At 43.6% G+C, this 15,760-nt stretch overlaps 1 protein-coding gene and 1 long non-coding RNA gene across 3 annotated transcripts in view, besides 2 other annotated features; both read left to right on the top strand.

Moving 5' to 3' along the window:
* Window positions 1-1,907: 1,907 nt before the first annotated feature.
* Window positions 1,908-13,373, top strand: LINC03026 (long intergenic non-protein coding RNA 3026). Of its 2 annotated transcripts, NR_135137.1 has the most exons (3): window positions 1,908-2,085; window positions 2,325-2,425; window positions 13,027-13,373. It is a non-coding gene; the product is annotated as a long intergenic non-protein coding RNA 3026 (long non-coding RNA). The 2 variants fall into 2 exon arrangements; NR_135138.1 differs by lacking the exon at window positions 2,325-2,425.
* Window positions 1,908-15,760, top strand: part of LOC124902201 (syncytin-A-like) — a 40,433-nt gene continuing 26,580 nt past the window's right edge. Inside the window, exons 1-4 of the mRNA XM_047424307.1 lie at window positions 1,908-2,085; window positions 2,325-2,425; window positions 11,067-11,164; window positions 13,027-14,351. The gene's annotated coding sequence lies outside the window, so the exon portion shown is untranslated. The remainder of the gene's footprint in view (window positions 2,086-2,324; window positions 2,426-11,066; window positions 11,165-13,026; window positions 14,352-15,760) is intronic.
* Window positions 2,660-3,210: an enhancer, noted in NCBI's record as "H3K27ac-H3K4me1 hESC enhancer chr9:90691513-90692063 (GRCh37/hg19 assembly coordinates)". NCBI's record gives its function as "activates a minimal SCP1, AML or CMV promoter by ChIP-STARR-seq in primed H9 embryonic stem cells {active_cell/tissue: H9 hESC(primed)}" and the evidence as "EXISTENCE:reporter gene assay evidence [ECO:0000049][PMID:30033119]".
* Window positions 9,757-10,313: an enhancer, noted in NCBI's record as "OCT4-NANOG hESC enhancer chr9:90684410-90684966 (GRCh37/hg19 assembly coordinates)". NCBI's record gives its function as "activates a minimal SCP1, AML or CMV promoter by ChIP-STARR-seq in primed H9 embryonic stem cells {active_cell/tissue: H9 hESC(primed)}" and the evidence as "EXISTENCE:reporter gene assay evidence [ECO:0000049][PMID:30033119]".

Raw genomic sequence — 15,760 nt, 5'->3', positions numbered from 1 at the left:
GTTTGTTTGTTTGTTTTGTTTTGTTTTGTTTTGTTTTGTTTTTGGGACGGAGTTTCGCTCTTGTTGCCCAGGCTGGAGTGCAATGGCACAATCTTGGTTCACCACAACCTCTGCCTCCTGGATTCAAGCGATTCTCCCGCCTCAGCCTCCTGAGTAGTTGGGATTACAGGCATGTGCCACCATGCCTGGCTAATTTTGTATTTTTAGTAGAGATGGGGTTTCTCCATGTTGGTCAGGCTGGTCTCAAACTCCTAACCTCGTGATCCGCCCGCCTTGGCCTACCAAAGTGCTGGGATTATAGGCGTGAACCAACGTGCCCAGCTGGTTTTGCAGCTCTTAAAAACAGTGACTCTACAATGTTTTTCTCACATTTGCTGGGGTCACTTTCTAAGGTGTATAGACTAGTCCTTTACAAACCAACCCTCTCCTCTCCCTGACAACTTGGATATTGCTTCCTCCTCTGCCTGTCGAGGTGTTTTGTCTGTACCTTAGTTTGAGTTTCCCTGCTAAGCACCAAGTTCAGAGCCAGGCTGTGGGACACACGGTAACTAACCCAATATGTCCCCTTCCTGCAGAGAATACACAAGTCCCAAGAAGGTCCATGGGGCCTCAGGGAAGGAAAATATGGTAGGAGGGCTCAGGTCTAATTGAAAGTTGCTCACCTCCAGCCCCAAGGTTTTTTTTGACCCGGATAAAGTAAAACAAAGAAAGCACACTGAAATTAGAGGGAGGCAATGGCATTTTGCACACCTTAGTAACAGCATGTGGTGGCCTGTGGGCATCCTGTATGACTGCAGAGGACCAGGGAGCTTTCTGGGGCAATGAAAACATTCTGAATTTCCTCTCTGGTGGTGCATATTCGTCAAAACTTAGCAACTGCACACTTAAAATAGGTGCAACTTGTACATAAATCATTCTCCAAAACAGTGATTTTGGAAAGGCCTCATGTGGTCCTTTTCTCTTTCCTGGTTCCTTCTCTGCTCACCTGCCAACAGTGCTCCATGGTCCCCCAGGTTGGAGCACGTGGAGGGATGAAGCAAAGGGAAAAAAGAAATGTCATTCACATGGATCCAGAAGTAAGCTGGCTCATACTGGTGCCTAGAAACACCTCCCCACACACCTTCCCACCAAGGAGCAGTTTGCCAGCCCATCTGTTTTGCCCTCTGTGTTTCCCTGGGCAGGAGTTATCCCCCAGCCATTGCATCCCCCAAACTCCAGAGGTTCAGTTGAGCTGAACTTCACCGAGCCTGAGGCAAGAAGACAAGCTCCCCCTACCCAAGCCCTTGACAAGGCAGGAGGAGGGGCTCACAGCACACGGCTGCCTACAGAAGTCTTCCTCTCAAAGCTCCTTAACCTTCCTCCTTCTCGCCATGTGTAACTGCTCACTGCTTCATCACAGATGTTTAAATCAGCACCGTCTGTATTTTGGTCTGGCAGCTCACTTGGGAATGCAGCATCCTTGGAAATGTGGTGTCGGGTGGATGCACCAATGTCCATCTCCTGCTACAAATGGCAACTGAACTTGTGGCCATCTGGGCTTTTTAGTCTGTTGTTGTTGGTTTTACCTCTGTTTTATACTACCCAGCATCCACCAACAATCACAGGCTAATTTTTCCTACATGATGGCTACTTCCCCAACTCCAGGTGGTTGTAGTAAAGAGGACTCCAGCGACATACGGCCTAGTTCAAGGGGTGGACAGGTCAGCCTTGCAGATATTCAAGGGAGAGCCACCTGGGCAGAGGGAAAGTTATGGACTAAACTGTGTCCTCACAAAATTTGTATGTTGAAGCTCTAACCCCTAGTGTGACTGCATTTGGAGGCAGAACCTATAAGGAGGTAATAAAGGTTAAGTGAGGTCATAGGGTGGGCTCTGATCCAATAGAACTGTGTCCTTATAGGAACAGGAAGAAGCGCTAGGGATATCTCCCCTCCCCCGCTCCCTCTGTCTCCCTCTCTCCCTCCCCTCTCCCCTCTCCCATGAGAGGACACAGCCAGAAGGAGACCGTCTGCAAGCCAAGGAGAGAAGCCTCACCAGCCATGGAATCTATAGGCACCTTGATGTTGGACTTCCAGCCTCCAGAGCTGTGAGAAATGCGTTTCTGTTGTTTAAGTTGCCCCGTCTGGATTCTGTTACGGCACCCTGAGCTAAGACAGGGACTAACTGGTGCAAAGGCCCTGGGGGGGACCTGGAGGCAGGTTTGAAGGGTGGGGGGAGGGGAGGCCATGATCACCGGGTGGAGGGTGGGAGTAGGTGGACATGGGTTAGAAAGGTCGTGGGCCAGGCGGCCTCCTAGGCAGCTTCCTGATGTTGGCCTTTTCATAGATGGAAGCCAACCGTCGGGAGCACACACACCACATTACAAGGATCCCAGCCAGGCCCAGGAGGGGAAGCAAGGACACCCTAGAGGCAGAGAGAACTGGCAGGTAGCACCGTGGGGGATGAGAGCGGGTTGGAATCTAGATCCTTCTTGAGAAAGGAGGACGCTGGAGGGTGGGATGTGAAAACTGGGGGAGAGAAGACTCAGAGGTCACTGGAGGTCTGAACAAGTGCAAGGATAGAGGTGCCCCGAGCTGACACGGGTGGCCTGGGCAGGGGCCGGTGTGTTGGGGGAGATCCTGGGGTCTGGAGGCCAGGGGTCGGGCCATGAGGCCGTACCGGCAAAGGCGGTGCGGGCCCTGAAACCAGGCGAAGACAGAGCTGGCGGGAGGCAGCGGCCCCAAAGTCAGGACCGAGGAGGGCCGGGCTGACTGCCAAGGAAGGCCGGGCTGGCTGCCAAGGTCAACCAGGTGGAGGCCTTCGGGGTTCGGCAAGAGCAGTTCTGTGAGCTGGCGGAGCCTGGCGTCTGCCTGCGTGACGTGGAGGAACCGCAGGCGGCGACCGCGGACAGAATGTACAGGTTTCTGGGCGAGGAATGGAGAATGAGGCGGAGCTGGGCTGCAGGAGACGGAGGCAGAGAGAGACGGCCTGGCGGGAGATGCAGGGGCCCGCGGCAGGGCCCTGGAAGCTCCAGGCGGGAGGAGGGACGTGGTGGCGGGCGGGAGGGCAAGGGCTGGGGCCCGGGCTCATTCCGCAGAGCCTGCGGGTACAGCAGGCTGAGGGGTCAGACTGAGCACAGGGAGCTGAATAGCGAGCCCCGCCCGGCAGGGGAAATGAAGGGAGGGTGGTGTGAGAGCTTCTGCCAGGGGCAGAAGGACACCGAGGGACCGCAAGCAGAGCCGAGGGAGTGCGCGCTAGCCCCGGAAGAGGGTGCGCTGGGCTGGCTGCTGAGCTACCCTCAGGAGCTGCAGGGGCTCGAGGGGCTGGAAATGCTGCGGCAGAAACTGGAAGGGCCCTGCCTAGGTTGGCTTAGGAGTAGAGGGGTGCACCCTGGTCAACCCTGCACCTCCGGGGCGCCACGCGCTCGCTGGCGGGAGGGCGGAGGGAGGCGGGAAGGAGACGCTAAGGCGCTGCGATCCCGGACGCGCAGCCCTCTAGGCGTGGAGGCTGCTGGAGCCGCCAGGCAGCTTCTCGGCGACTCCACGCGTCAGTGCAGAGATGCTGCAGGGACGCAGCGCTCACAAAAGCAGCTCCGCTCACAAAAATACGGCCACACCGAGCAGACGTCTGCTTTGACACCACTCGACCCTGCCAAAAAGAGCAATTAATGGGATCAGAAGGGCGGGAGGTGGGAGGGAAGGCGGGGAGTGGGCAATGAGCAGAGCCTGGCTTTCTATCCCAGGACAGCGTGGTGTTCTCAAGGGAATTTAGACAAACATTTCATCCTAACCTCAACAACAGGTCCTCCTGAGTCCTCATACAACCTATCCTTAGGCGGTAACAGGCTGCAGCTGTTGAAGTCTAATTTCACTCTATTGATTGGTACTTTCAATGGAATGCTTTCTGATTAATTCTGTGCCTTTAGTTTTACCCTGGACATGTTTCAAGACAATGTATTAATAAGACTCTGGTGTTACGTATTCAATCAATTTATAGATGAAACCCAGAAAACTCAAATATGGTTAGAGGACTGGATTAAATGATATTTACTTTGGCAATAGAGAAATAAAAGTATACTGAACTGATGGAAATATTCTAAAACTATATTGCAGTGATGGTTACACAACTCTACAGATTTACTGACAATGGGTGAAATATGTAGCATGTTAAAAATACCAGCTGTTAAAAATGAAGAAAAAGTCTATCAGTAAAAAAATAAATACGTGTCTAACTGGAAGAAGATAAGATACAGAGGCAGGGGGGAAAGAGGGTAGGGTAGGGGGGCTAAGAGCCTCATTCACATCGTGGTGTGGCAGTTAATACAGTCTAAGTTTACAGAACAAGAAATTCAAGTTCAAGCATATTGCTTAAATCTAGTTAACCTATAGGAAAACTAAGTATAATAATAAGCACAGCAAAGTAGGAGGAAGAAGACAAGTAGCCTTAATCAGCTAAACCTTCCTCTTTTATAATGGAAAGCCACTGCAAAAGAAATCGAGGTTGATAAATACAGAAGCTCGATAAGTGTATTATTACTTAAAATTTTGAATTTTGAAAGGAACTCCCCAAAAATCTAAAAATGCTTATTGTTAAAAAAAATTTTTTTTGAGATAGGATCTCTCTCTGTCACCCAGGCTGGAGTGGAATGGTGTGATCATAGCACACTACAGCCTCTCTACCTCCTGGGCTCAAGCGATCCTCACGTCTCAGCCTCCTGAGTAACTGTGACTACAGGTGGGTGCCAGCACACCCAGCTGATTTTTTTATAGAGAAGAGGTCGCGCTGTGTTGCCCAGGCTGGTCTCAAACTCCTGGCCTCAAGCAGTCCTCCCACTTCAGCTCCTAAAGTGTTGGGACCACAGGCATGAGCCACCATGCCAGCCTAAATTTTGCCTTTAAAAATTGTCCCATGAATTCCTGGATTGGCATAACAGTTGGTATTGTCTTGATAGAAGAGTTGTTGAAATAATCTATCACCTTCACACTGCCCGGCATGTGCACACACGTGCATGTCTGCGCATGTCCGTATGTGTGCACATGTCACATGAATGTGCAAGTGTGTGCAAATGTGCAAGTGTTTGTGTGTGCTTGTCTGTGTCCATGTGTATGTGTGTATGTATGTTTTAAGAGACCTGTAAAATCAAAAGAAAACTAGCCTCAAGGTAAAATTACAAAAAATCCCCACATATTTACAGTGATCAGTGACATAGTCTTTCTTTTCTTGAATAAATATTACAATTTGATTATCTGAGATGCTTTTATATTTAGGAAATGAGTTAATACAGATTAAATTACATTTCAATATTTTAAATATCTTCCTAAATCTTCATGACTTTTATTACTGAATCTGCTGCTAAAGGTCTTGGTACAATTAAATTTTAAAACTTTTTTGAAAGGAGGGGAGAAAATTTTATTTTTCTAATTTTATGCTTCAAATTTATATTACGTACATTAAGTGCTATGTAAACTTGTCTTTAGGATATCAGTATTTAACTTGGGCAATATTATTTCATCTTAATTTATTTGGAGAAATACAACTTAGCTGTCTGCTTATAAACATCAAAAAATGTGCCAAATGAGAAAATAGGGCATTAACAATCAGAATTTAAATTTTTTTTAATTTCGATGGTTTTGGGGGTATAGGTGGTTTTGGTTATGTGAATAAGTTCTTTAGTGGTGGTTTCTGAGATGTTGGTGCACCCGAGCAGTGTACACTGTACCCAATATGTAGTCTTTTATCCCTCACCCCCCTCCCAACCTTCGCCACTGAGTCAAAAGTCCATTATATCATTCTGTGCCTTTGCATCCACATAGTTTAGCTCCTACTTATTAGTGAAAACATACAATATTTGGTTTTCCATTCCTGAGTTACTTCACTTAGAACAATGGCCTCAGGCTCCATCCAAGTGGCTGCAAAAGACATTATTTCATTCCTTTTTAGGGCTGAGTAGTATTCTGTGGTGTGTATGTACCACGTTTTCTTTATCCATTCATTGGTTGATGGGCACTTAGGTTGGTTCTTTGTCTTTGCGATTGTGAATTGTACTGCGTGTGTAGGTGTCTTTTTCATATAATGACTTGTTTTCCTTTGGGTAGGTACCCGGTAGTGGGATTGCCAAATCAAATGGTAGTTCTACATTTAGTTCTTTAAGGAATCTCCACACTGTTTTCCATAGTGGTTGTACTAATTTGCATTCCCACCAGCAGTGTAAAAGTGTTCCCTTTTCACCACATCCATGCCAACATTTGTTGTTTTTTGGCTTTTTAATTATGGCCATTCTTTCAGGAGTAAGGTTTCATCTCACTGTGGTTTTCATTTGCTTTTCCCTGATGATCTGTGATGTTAAGCATTTTTTCATGTTTGTTGGCCATTTGTATATTTTCTTTCAAGAAATGTTTATTCATGTCCTTTGCCCACTTTTGGAAGGGATTATTATTATTATTATTATTTTCTTGCTGATCTGAGTTCCTTGTAGATTCTGGATACTAGACCTTTGTTGGATGCAGTTTGCAAGTATTTTCTCCCACTCTGTGGGTTGTCTGTTTACTCTGCTGATTATTTCTTTTGCTATGCAGAGCTTCTTAGTTTAATTAGGTCCCATTGATCTTTGTTTTTGTTGAATTTGCTTTTGGGGTCTTAGTCATGAATTCTTTGCCTGAGCCAATGTCCACAAGAGTTTTTCTGATGTTATCTTCTAGAATTTTTATAGTTTCAGGTCTTAGATTTAAGTTTGATATTGTTTAGATCTGTGTCCGGATCCGCACCAAATCTCATGTTGAATTGTAATCCCCAGTGTTGGAGGTGGAGCCTGATGAAGGGTGACTGAGTCATGTGGGTGGCATTCTCATGAATGGGTTAGCACCATCCTCTTGGTGCTGTTCTCATGGTAAGAGTTCTCAGGAGATCTGGTTGTTTAGAAGTGTGTGACACCTCCCCACCATCTCACTCTCTCTTCTTTCTGCTCCAGCCATGTAAGACATGCCTGTGCCTGCTTCCCCTTTGCCTTCTGCCATGACTGAAAGTTTCCTAAGGCCTCCTCAGAAGCCGAGCAGATGCCAGCATCATGCTTCCTCTAAAGCCTGTGGAACCATGAGCCAAGTAAACCTCTTCTCTTTATAAATTACCCAGTTTCAGGTATTTCTTTATAACAATGTGAGAACAGACTAATACAAAGTGTTTGGCCATCTTGAATTGATTTTTGTATAAGGTGAGAGATGAGGATCCAGTTTCATTCTTCTACATGTGGCTTGCCAGTTTTCCCAGCACCATTTATTGAATAGAGTGTCCTTTCCTCAATTTATGTTTTTGTATGTTTTGTCAAATATCAATTGGCTGTAAGTATTTGGCTTTATTTCTGGGTTCTATATTCTGTTCCATTGGTCTACATGCCTATTTTTCTTTTTTTTTTTAGACAGAGTCTCGCTCTGTCTCCCAGGCTGGAATGCAATGGTGCAATCTCGGCTCACTGCAACCTCTGCCTCCTGGGTTCAAGCGATTCTCCTGCCTCAGCCTCCCCAGTAGCTGGGATTACAGGCACCTGCCACCACACCCGGCTAATTTTTTGTATTTTTGGTAGAGACGGTGTTTCACCATGTTAGCCAGGATGGTCTTGATTTCCTGACCTTGTGATCTGCCCACCTCGGCCTCCCAAAGTGCTGGGATTACAGGCGTGAGCCACTGCGCCTGGCCTACATGCCTATTTTTATACCAGAACCGTGCTGTTTTGGTAACTATAACCTTGTAGTATGATTTGAAGTCAGGTAATGTGGTGCCTCCAAATTTGTTCTTCTCACTTAGTATTGCTTTGACTATGCAGGCTCTTTTTTCGTTCCATATGAATTTTAGGATTGTTTTTTCTAGATGATCATGATATCTTTTTCTTTTTCTAGAAGAATGATGATAATATTTTGGTGGGAATTGAATTGAATCTGTAGATTGCTTTGGACAGTATGGTCATTTTCACAATATTGATTTTTCCCATCCGTGAGCAGGAGATGTGTTTCCATTTGTTTGTGTCATCTATGATTTCTTTCAGCAGTGTTTTGTAGTATTCCTTGTAGAGATCTTTCTCCTCCTTGGTTAAGTATATTCCTAAGTATTTTATTTTTGCAGCTGTTGTAAAATGGATTGAGTTCTTAATCTGATTTGATTTTCAGCTTGGTCGTTGTTGGTATATAGCAGTACTACTGATTTGTATACATGGGTTCTGTATCCTGAGACTTTATTGAATTTGTTTTTTAGATCTAGGGGCTTTTGGGATGAGTCTTTAGGGTTTTCTAAGTATACATTCATCATTGGCAAATAGCAAGAGTTTTACTTCCTCTTTTCCAATTTGGATGCCTTTCATTTCTTTCTTTTCTCTGATTGCTCTGGCCAGGATTTACAGTACTATGTTGAATAGAAGTGGTGAGAGAGGGCATTCTTGTCTTGTTCCAGTTCTCCAGAGGAATGCTTTCGACTTTCCCCCATTCAGTATGATGTTGCATATGGGTTTGTCATATATGGCTTTTACTACTTTCAGGTAAGTCCCTTCTATGCCTATTTTGCTGCAGGTTTTTATTATAAAGGGATGCTGGATTTTATCAAATGCTTTTTCTACATCTATTGAGATGACCATACAGTTTTTATTTTTAATTCTGTTTATATGATGTATCACATTTATTGACTTGCATATGTTAAACCATCCCTCTATCACTGGGAAGAAACCCACTTGATCAAAAAGATGTATTATCTTTTTGATATGCTGCTGGATTCAGTTAGCTAGTATTTTGTTGAAGATTTTTGCATCTATATTCATCAGGGATATTGGTCTGTAGTTTTCTTTTTTCTTATGTCCTTTCCTGGTTTTGGTAGTAGGGTGATAGTGGCTCCATAGAATGATTTGGGGAGGAGTTCCTCTGTCTCTATCTTTTGAAATAGTTTCAGTAGGATTGGTACCAATTCTTTGAATGTCTGCTAGAATTTATCTGTGAGTCCATCTGGTCCTGGACTTTTTTTTTTTGTTGGCAATTTTTTTAAATTACTGCTTCAATCTCACTGCTTGTTATTGGTCTCTTCTGGGTTTCTATTTCTTCCTTATTTAATCTAGGAGGGTTGTACATTTCCAGGAGTTTATCCATTTCCTCTAGGTTTTCTAGTTTCTGCATATACAGGTGTTCAAGATAGCCTTTAAATCTTTCGTATTTCTGTGATATCAGTTGTAATACCTTCTGTTTCATTTCTAATTGAGGTTATTTGGATCTTCTGTCTTCTTTTCTTGGTTAATCTCACTAATGATCTATGAATTTTATTGTTTCAAAGAACCAGCTTTTTGTTACAATCAGAATTTTTAGATTTACCCACATACGTTTTTCTTTTAACCTGCTATTGGGTTAACTTATATATAGCATTTACCCTTAAGGTTGTTGAAACATCCTATCAAGGTATTATGCAGGAGTTTACATCTTTTGCATAAGTGGTGCCCTGGGTTGCGCTTATTCTTGACCAAATGAAAAACAAACACTGCTGGCACCATACTCTAAACTATCTTTGTATCATAGGTTGTAAGACTTGGTGAAAGCCAAAGGGAACCTTTAAGGTTGGAGGGACCCGTTAGTGGTACATCTTTGGGCTTAGAGAAGGAAAAAAAATTGTCCTATACTACATTTCACATCTCCTACAAATAGTGTTTTAGCAGCTGAAGCCTTTTTACCTCTAAAACTTATTACACTAGGATTTACTTGGAAATATAGTTTACAACCAAATCAAGTATAATATACAGACACTGGCACTTTAGCACAAGGGCAAACTTTTTAAAAATTTGTTTTGGACCTTTAAAAGTAGGCCATAGTATAAAAAACAAGTCCACGCTCTTACATTCAGCAAATTCATACTAAAATATCTCATTCTTGTAGGATAAAGGCCAAGAAAACTTTACATATGCTACAAGTTTATTACATGTATTTACATGGCTCTTTCTTCCCTAGTTACTTAAAATTTTCACATTATACAACTCCCCAAAGTAAGTGTCCTCTCCCCAAAGCAAGCTTTGCAGAAACAATGAGGCCAAATCACCATAAGAATAGCTTGTGCAGGCGGGGCATGGTGGCTCACACCTGTAAGCCCAGCACTTTTGGAGGCTGAGGGAGGCGGATCACCTGAGCTCAGGAGTTTGAGACCAGCCTGGCCAACATGGCAAAACCCCATCTCTACTAAAAATACAAAAATTAGACAAGTTTGGTGGCCCATGCCTGTTAACCCAGCTACTTGGGAGGCTGAGGCACGAGAATTGCTTGAACCCGGGAGGCGGAAGTTGCAGTGAGCTGAGATGGCACCACTGCACTCCAGCTTGGTGGACAGAGCAAGACTCTGAAAAAAAAAAAAAAAAAGAATAGCTTGTGCAGTGCTATAATACAAAAGTGTATTTTGAAAGCTGTTGAGTCACTATTAAATAATGTTTCTGTAAAAATGGTTTTGGTGTATTTGTTGGCAGACACCTATCCACTGCATTTAAGAAAGAGAGCTATTGGGGTATACTGTGCCTCATTCTAATGAGCCCCAAGTGGCCTTTCCACCTTCATCACTGTACAGTTTACTAAAATGCAACTATTAGGAAAACTTCATCTTTTTATTTTACAGTACATCAAGTTGTTGGCATATTACCGTCTTGGGTATTTCTAGTATACTGAACATTTAGATGTTTACCTACTTCTCAATCTTTATATTCTTAGCTAGATGCTTATAATCTGATTCAGCAACTTTCAGCAATTTACTGTCCATGACTGATAATCTTATATTACTATTTTCCTCAACCCAACAATAGAAAAAGTTGGTTCTTTTACCACTCCCTAGGTCTAAACATGAATGGTTTCACTTAAAAGTTACTCAGTTGAGAACATTTAATATCAAGTACAATTATTAATTTAGTTACTTTAAGTTGTACTGATGCTACCATTACATCACAGTGCACCCAACACATAAAGCAACACATAAAGCAGATGAGATGAAGTCTAATTATGTGTGTGTGTACATATATATATATATTTTTGTTTGTTTGTTTGTTTGTTTGTTTGTTTGTTTTTTGAGATGAAGTCTTGCTCTACCATCCAGGCTGGAGTGAAGTGGCATGATCTCAGCTCACTGGAATGTCCACCTCCTAGGTTCAAGTGATTCTCCTGCCTCAGCCTCCCAAGTGGCTGGGATTACAGGTACATGCCACCATGCCCAGCTAATTTTTGTGTTTTTAGTAGAGACGGGGTTTCACCATGTTGGCCAGGCTGGTCTCAAACTCCTGACCTCAAGTGATCTGCCTCCCTCGGCCTCCCAAAGTGCTGGGATTACAGGCATGAGCCACCACACCCGGGCATATTTTTTACATTAATTAGCAGTTCTATGCAAATAGATTAATTCCCTGGTGAATTTGTTTCAGACCAATTGACAACTATCTGTAAACATAATTAAATTTAAACATAAGTACTTTATCTTATTTTATATCTGCACTTTTTGTTTTTTTGAGACAGGATCTCACTCTGAGATGGAATTTCGCTTTTGTTGCCCAGGCTGGAGTGCAATGGCATGATCTGGGCTCACCGCAACATCCGCCTCCTGAATTTAAGCAATTCTTATGCCTCAGCCTCCCGAGTAGCTGGGATTACAGGCATGTGCCACTACACCTGGCTAATTTTTGTATTTTTAGTAGAGATGGGGTTTCACCATGTTGGCCAGGCTGGTCTTGAACTCCTGACCTTAAATGATCCACCTGCCTCGACCTCTCAAAGTGCTGGGATTACAGGCATGAGCCACTGCGCCTGGCCTATATCTGCACTTTAGATTTTACGTTCAAATGTCTTTATTTTCTTATCTAAAGGATTAAAGGCAATAGGAAGTATATTAGTCCATTTTTGTATTGCCATAAAGAAATACCTGAGACTGGGTAATTTATAAAGAAAAGAGGTTTAATTGGCTCACAGTTCCGCAGGCTGTATGGGAAGCATGGTGGCATCAGCTTCTGGGAAGGCCTCTGGGGAGGGAACTTACAATCATGTTGGAAGGCAAAGGGAGAGCAAGCACTTCACATGACAGGAGCAGGAGGAAGGCGAGGAGATGCCACACACTTTTAAACAACCATATCTCATGAGAACTCACTCGCTATCACAAGAACAGCACCAAGAAGGAAATCCGCCCCCATGATCCAATCACCTCCCAGCAGGTCCCACCTCCAACATTGGTGTTTACAATTCTACATGATATTTGGGTGGGGACACAGATCCAAACCATATCAGGAACCCAGTGGTTTGGTGGTTAGGGAAGAATACTTGGTGATGGCAGCTCACTGCATTTGGCTCTGGCATCATTCTGGTTAGCTTCAGATTTTTGGTTTTTTTTTTTTTTGTGAGGTAGAGTTTCACTCTTATTGCCCAGGCTGGAGTGCAATGGTGTGATCTTGGCTCACTGCAACCTCTGCCTCCCGGATTCAAGCGATTCTCCTGCCTCAGCCTTCCGAGTAGCTGGGATTACAGTTGCCCACCACCATGCCCGGCTAATTTTTTTGTACTTTTAGTAGAGACAAGGTTTCACCATGTTGGCCAGGCTGGTCTTGAACTCCTGACCTCAGGTGATCCACCCACTTCAGCCTCCCAAAGTGCTGGGATTACAGGTGTGAGCCACTGCACCTGGCCATAACTTTAGATCTTAGAGTAAGCTGGGACTTGACAAACTAGAGCTCCAATTTGATTATTTGGAAAAGTTTTGTTAGTCCCCTTATCTTGCATGGCTTGCCAGGCAGTTGCTGATGAGTTATAACCCTGTCCTCTTTCTTCTTACAAACAGTCTTCATCGGGGAATTCTGATCCTTGGTCTTCTATTAAGCTACTGGTAGTTCTTACTCTCCTTTCTAGATGGAGGAGCTGGGTTGTTATTCCTCTCTCCACCACCTATCTTCAGCTGCTTTGTCACCTTTCTGTCTGCTTTTCAGATTGCAGGATTTCCACTACCTGTCCTCTTCCTTGGTGTCAAGCCCAGGACAATAGGTGTTGCTTTCTGACAGATCCTTTGCTTTGTCTCAATATAGGATTTTTCATGGGCCGATCTGCTGAATTCAGCCTAGGAGCTGAGACCAACATCTGAGTCTCTTCAGCACACAAGTTTGAAAGAAGTCCTAGCAACTTCAAGCTCAGAACTACGGGTGGCAGCAGCTCCCTCTTGACGTCGAAGCCTCCCATTCCAGAGAGAGTCAAGGCCTGGATCAAACAAAGCCCACAAGCACCGATGACTGAGCTGCTGACTACCCCCAGCATCTCCAACTCAACCTCCTCTTTCTGCCTCTACCCAAATTTTAAAACTTTCAAACATGGGTTTAAAAATGGTAATGAGTAAAGTTGCATCCAAGTGTATCAAATAAAACTAAATATCCATAAATGCTGTAATAATTCCTGCTTTGATGCTGAACTAAAGAATTTTCTGCCAGGCGTGGTGGCTAACACCTGTAATCCCAGCACTTTGGGAGGCCAAGGCAGGTGGATCACGAGGTCAGGAGTTCAAGACCTGCCTGGCCAACGTGGTGAAACCCCATCTCTACTAAAAATACAAAAATTAGCTGGGCATGGTGGCAGGCATCTGTAGTCCCAGCTACTCAGGAGGCTGAGGCAGGAGAATCACTTGAACCCGGGAGACAGAGGTTGTAGTGAGCCAAGATGGCACCACTGCACTCCATCCTGGGCAACAAGCGAGATTCCATCTCAAAAGAAAAAAAAAAAAGAATTTTCTGTTTATATTACATATAGTCTCACTTCATATTTCATTTCTCTCACCTCTGATACCTGGAGTCCTTTGCTAGTACTGAAATTGAGTAAAGTCATTCTCATGAGTTTTAGTAAACTCAAAACTCAAAACTCATGAAGTTGGCAAAACTCAAAGAATGCTTTGGTCTAGTTTGACATTGGCCAGTATGTTTTTCATATCCAGTCATTCCTTTTTTCCTGGCTGACATCCTCACTTCCTGCCTGTGGAGGAAAAGTTAAATATTAAATTTGAACTCAATTGAATGTGGACACAAACAATGGTCACCAAGTCCGGGAACAGGTTGTGTGAGTCCCTTGAGGCATTTATCCTGCCCTGTTTCGGAGAAATCTCTATTTCAAACTATTCCTATGTGTTACTTACTGAAAAACAACAGACAATCGCAAAAACAAGTTGACCTTTTTGTGTTCCTTGAGCCCAGTCACAAAGGGCCCTCATGACTGGGCCTCATGCCAAACAACTTGTTACAAAAAGAGCTAGGGTCCCAGACCGCACCAAAGACCCATGAGACCTCTCCTCGTCTGTGCACAGACTGGTGGCCGACTCTGGAGCCCAGGCTGTTGCTTCCTGGTCTGGTGATGAATCCTCCATAGTCTGGTGAGTGTAAATATATATATACATATATATCTTTTCCCGTCTCCCCTTCCCATTGCAATTTGCTTATTATATCATTTGCTTATTATACGTGTATTGCGATATACTTGGGATAAAGGCTGTTTACCCTTAAAAGTATTGTCTGTGCCTTTTCTTTTCCCCTCATGCATTTCCCACACAGAACACTGCCCTAGAGGAGGGGGTGGGAGAAATCTATGGAGATAGTACATTGAGTCTTAAAATGGACTTTGAAGGTCTCAGCAGAAATAATAGTTTGGAAGAAAAGACTTCTGAATCTCAAAACCATGAATTCTGAGTGTCATAAGCAGTGGTACTCAGTGTCATAAAAGATTTGTCATAAACAAGTTTTGCCATGAGGAAGATAGTGGGCCATGTCTAGGAGGGAAGTTGTAGAAGAAATTAAATGTGCTAAAACCCCAGGTGTGTGGACTAGGAGGATACCTTACCAGCTACAAGTTAAAATGTGCTTAAAATCGTATTAGTGTAGCCAGTGGTAAAAAGAAGGCTAAGAATTGGGATGTGTTCTTTGTCATTAGTCTAAGAATCTAAAAACTTACCTGCTGAATAAAAAATACTGAGTCTTAAGGCAAATTAGAGCCTATCTTGCTTCAGTGTTTAAAACGTGTTGGCACTTGGCAGAAATGCTGCTTCTCCTCACAATTTCACATAGTCCAGACACAAAAGCAGAACATCTGGCGGGATAGAATAGATTGTTTTAATTTAATTCTAAGTATGGGAAATCCCCAAGACTCCCTGTTTGAAAGCAAACGGCTATGTTGCAAGATTTAATAGATGATTTTTATTTAGGAGACATGGGACAGTGTGAATTTTGACAAAGACATACTTCCCCGCCACAGTGACTGTTCTCCACCTGCCCTGGAAGTGGAGGTAGACAGCAGCCCTGGGGTATATAATTCACTGTTTCACTCATTACTCCTTGTTTTCCAATCTCTGAGCTCCTATGATCAATTTTATGTAAAATAGCTGGGAAATTAATATTTCAAGCCCATTGAAGGATATATAAAATACATTGCAATTTTATACATGTGTGTGTTGCAATAAAAATGCCCTGATTAGAAAGAAAAAATTCCACCAGCTCTTGTCCAGCATCCAAGAGAGACAGGAGATGGAGCTTCAGACCCAGGAAACAAGTTCTCAACCACCTCAGCAACCATTCTTTATTTTCCTTTCAAATGCTGACTCAAACTTGGGTTTAAATCTTCTGTCTTTATTTGTGTTGGACCTTTTGTTTCTTCATCTGGAGACAGGAGTCATACCCCCTCCACACATCTAAAAAAGTACCCAGTGCCATAGCAGGCTGACCCTGGGAACTCCAAGAACAGAAGCTATTAAAATCAAAACAGAGGTTGCTTGGATCCCAGGACTCTCTA

This window comes from Homo sapiens, chromosome 9 (genome assembly GCF_000001405.40).
Source record: "Homo sapiens chromosome 9, GRCh38.p14 Primary Assembly".
Taxonomy (NCBI): domain Eukaryota; kingdom Metazoa; phylum Chordata; class Mammalia; order Primates; family Hominidae; genus Homo; species Homo sapiens.
This window is presented reverse-complemented; position numbering and strand designations above follow the sequence as displayed.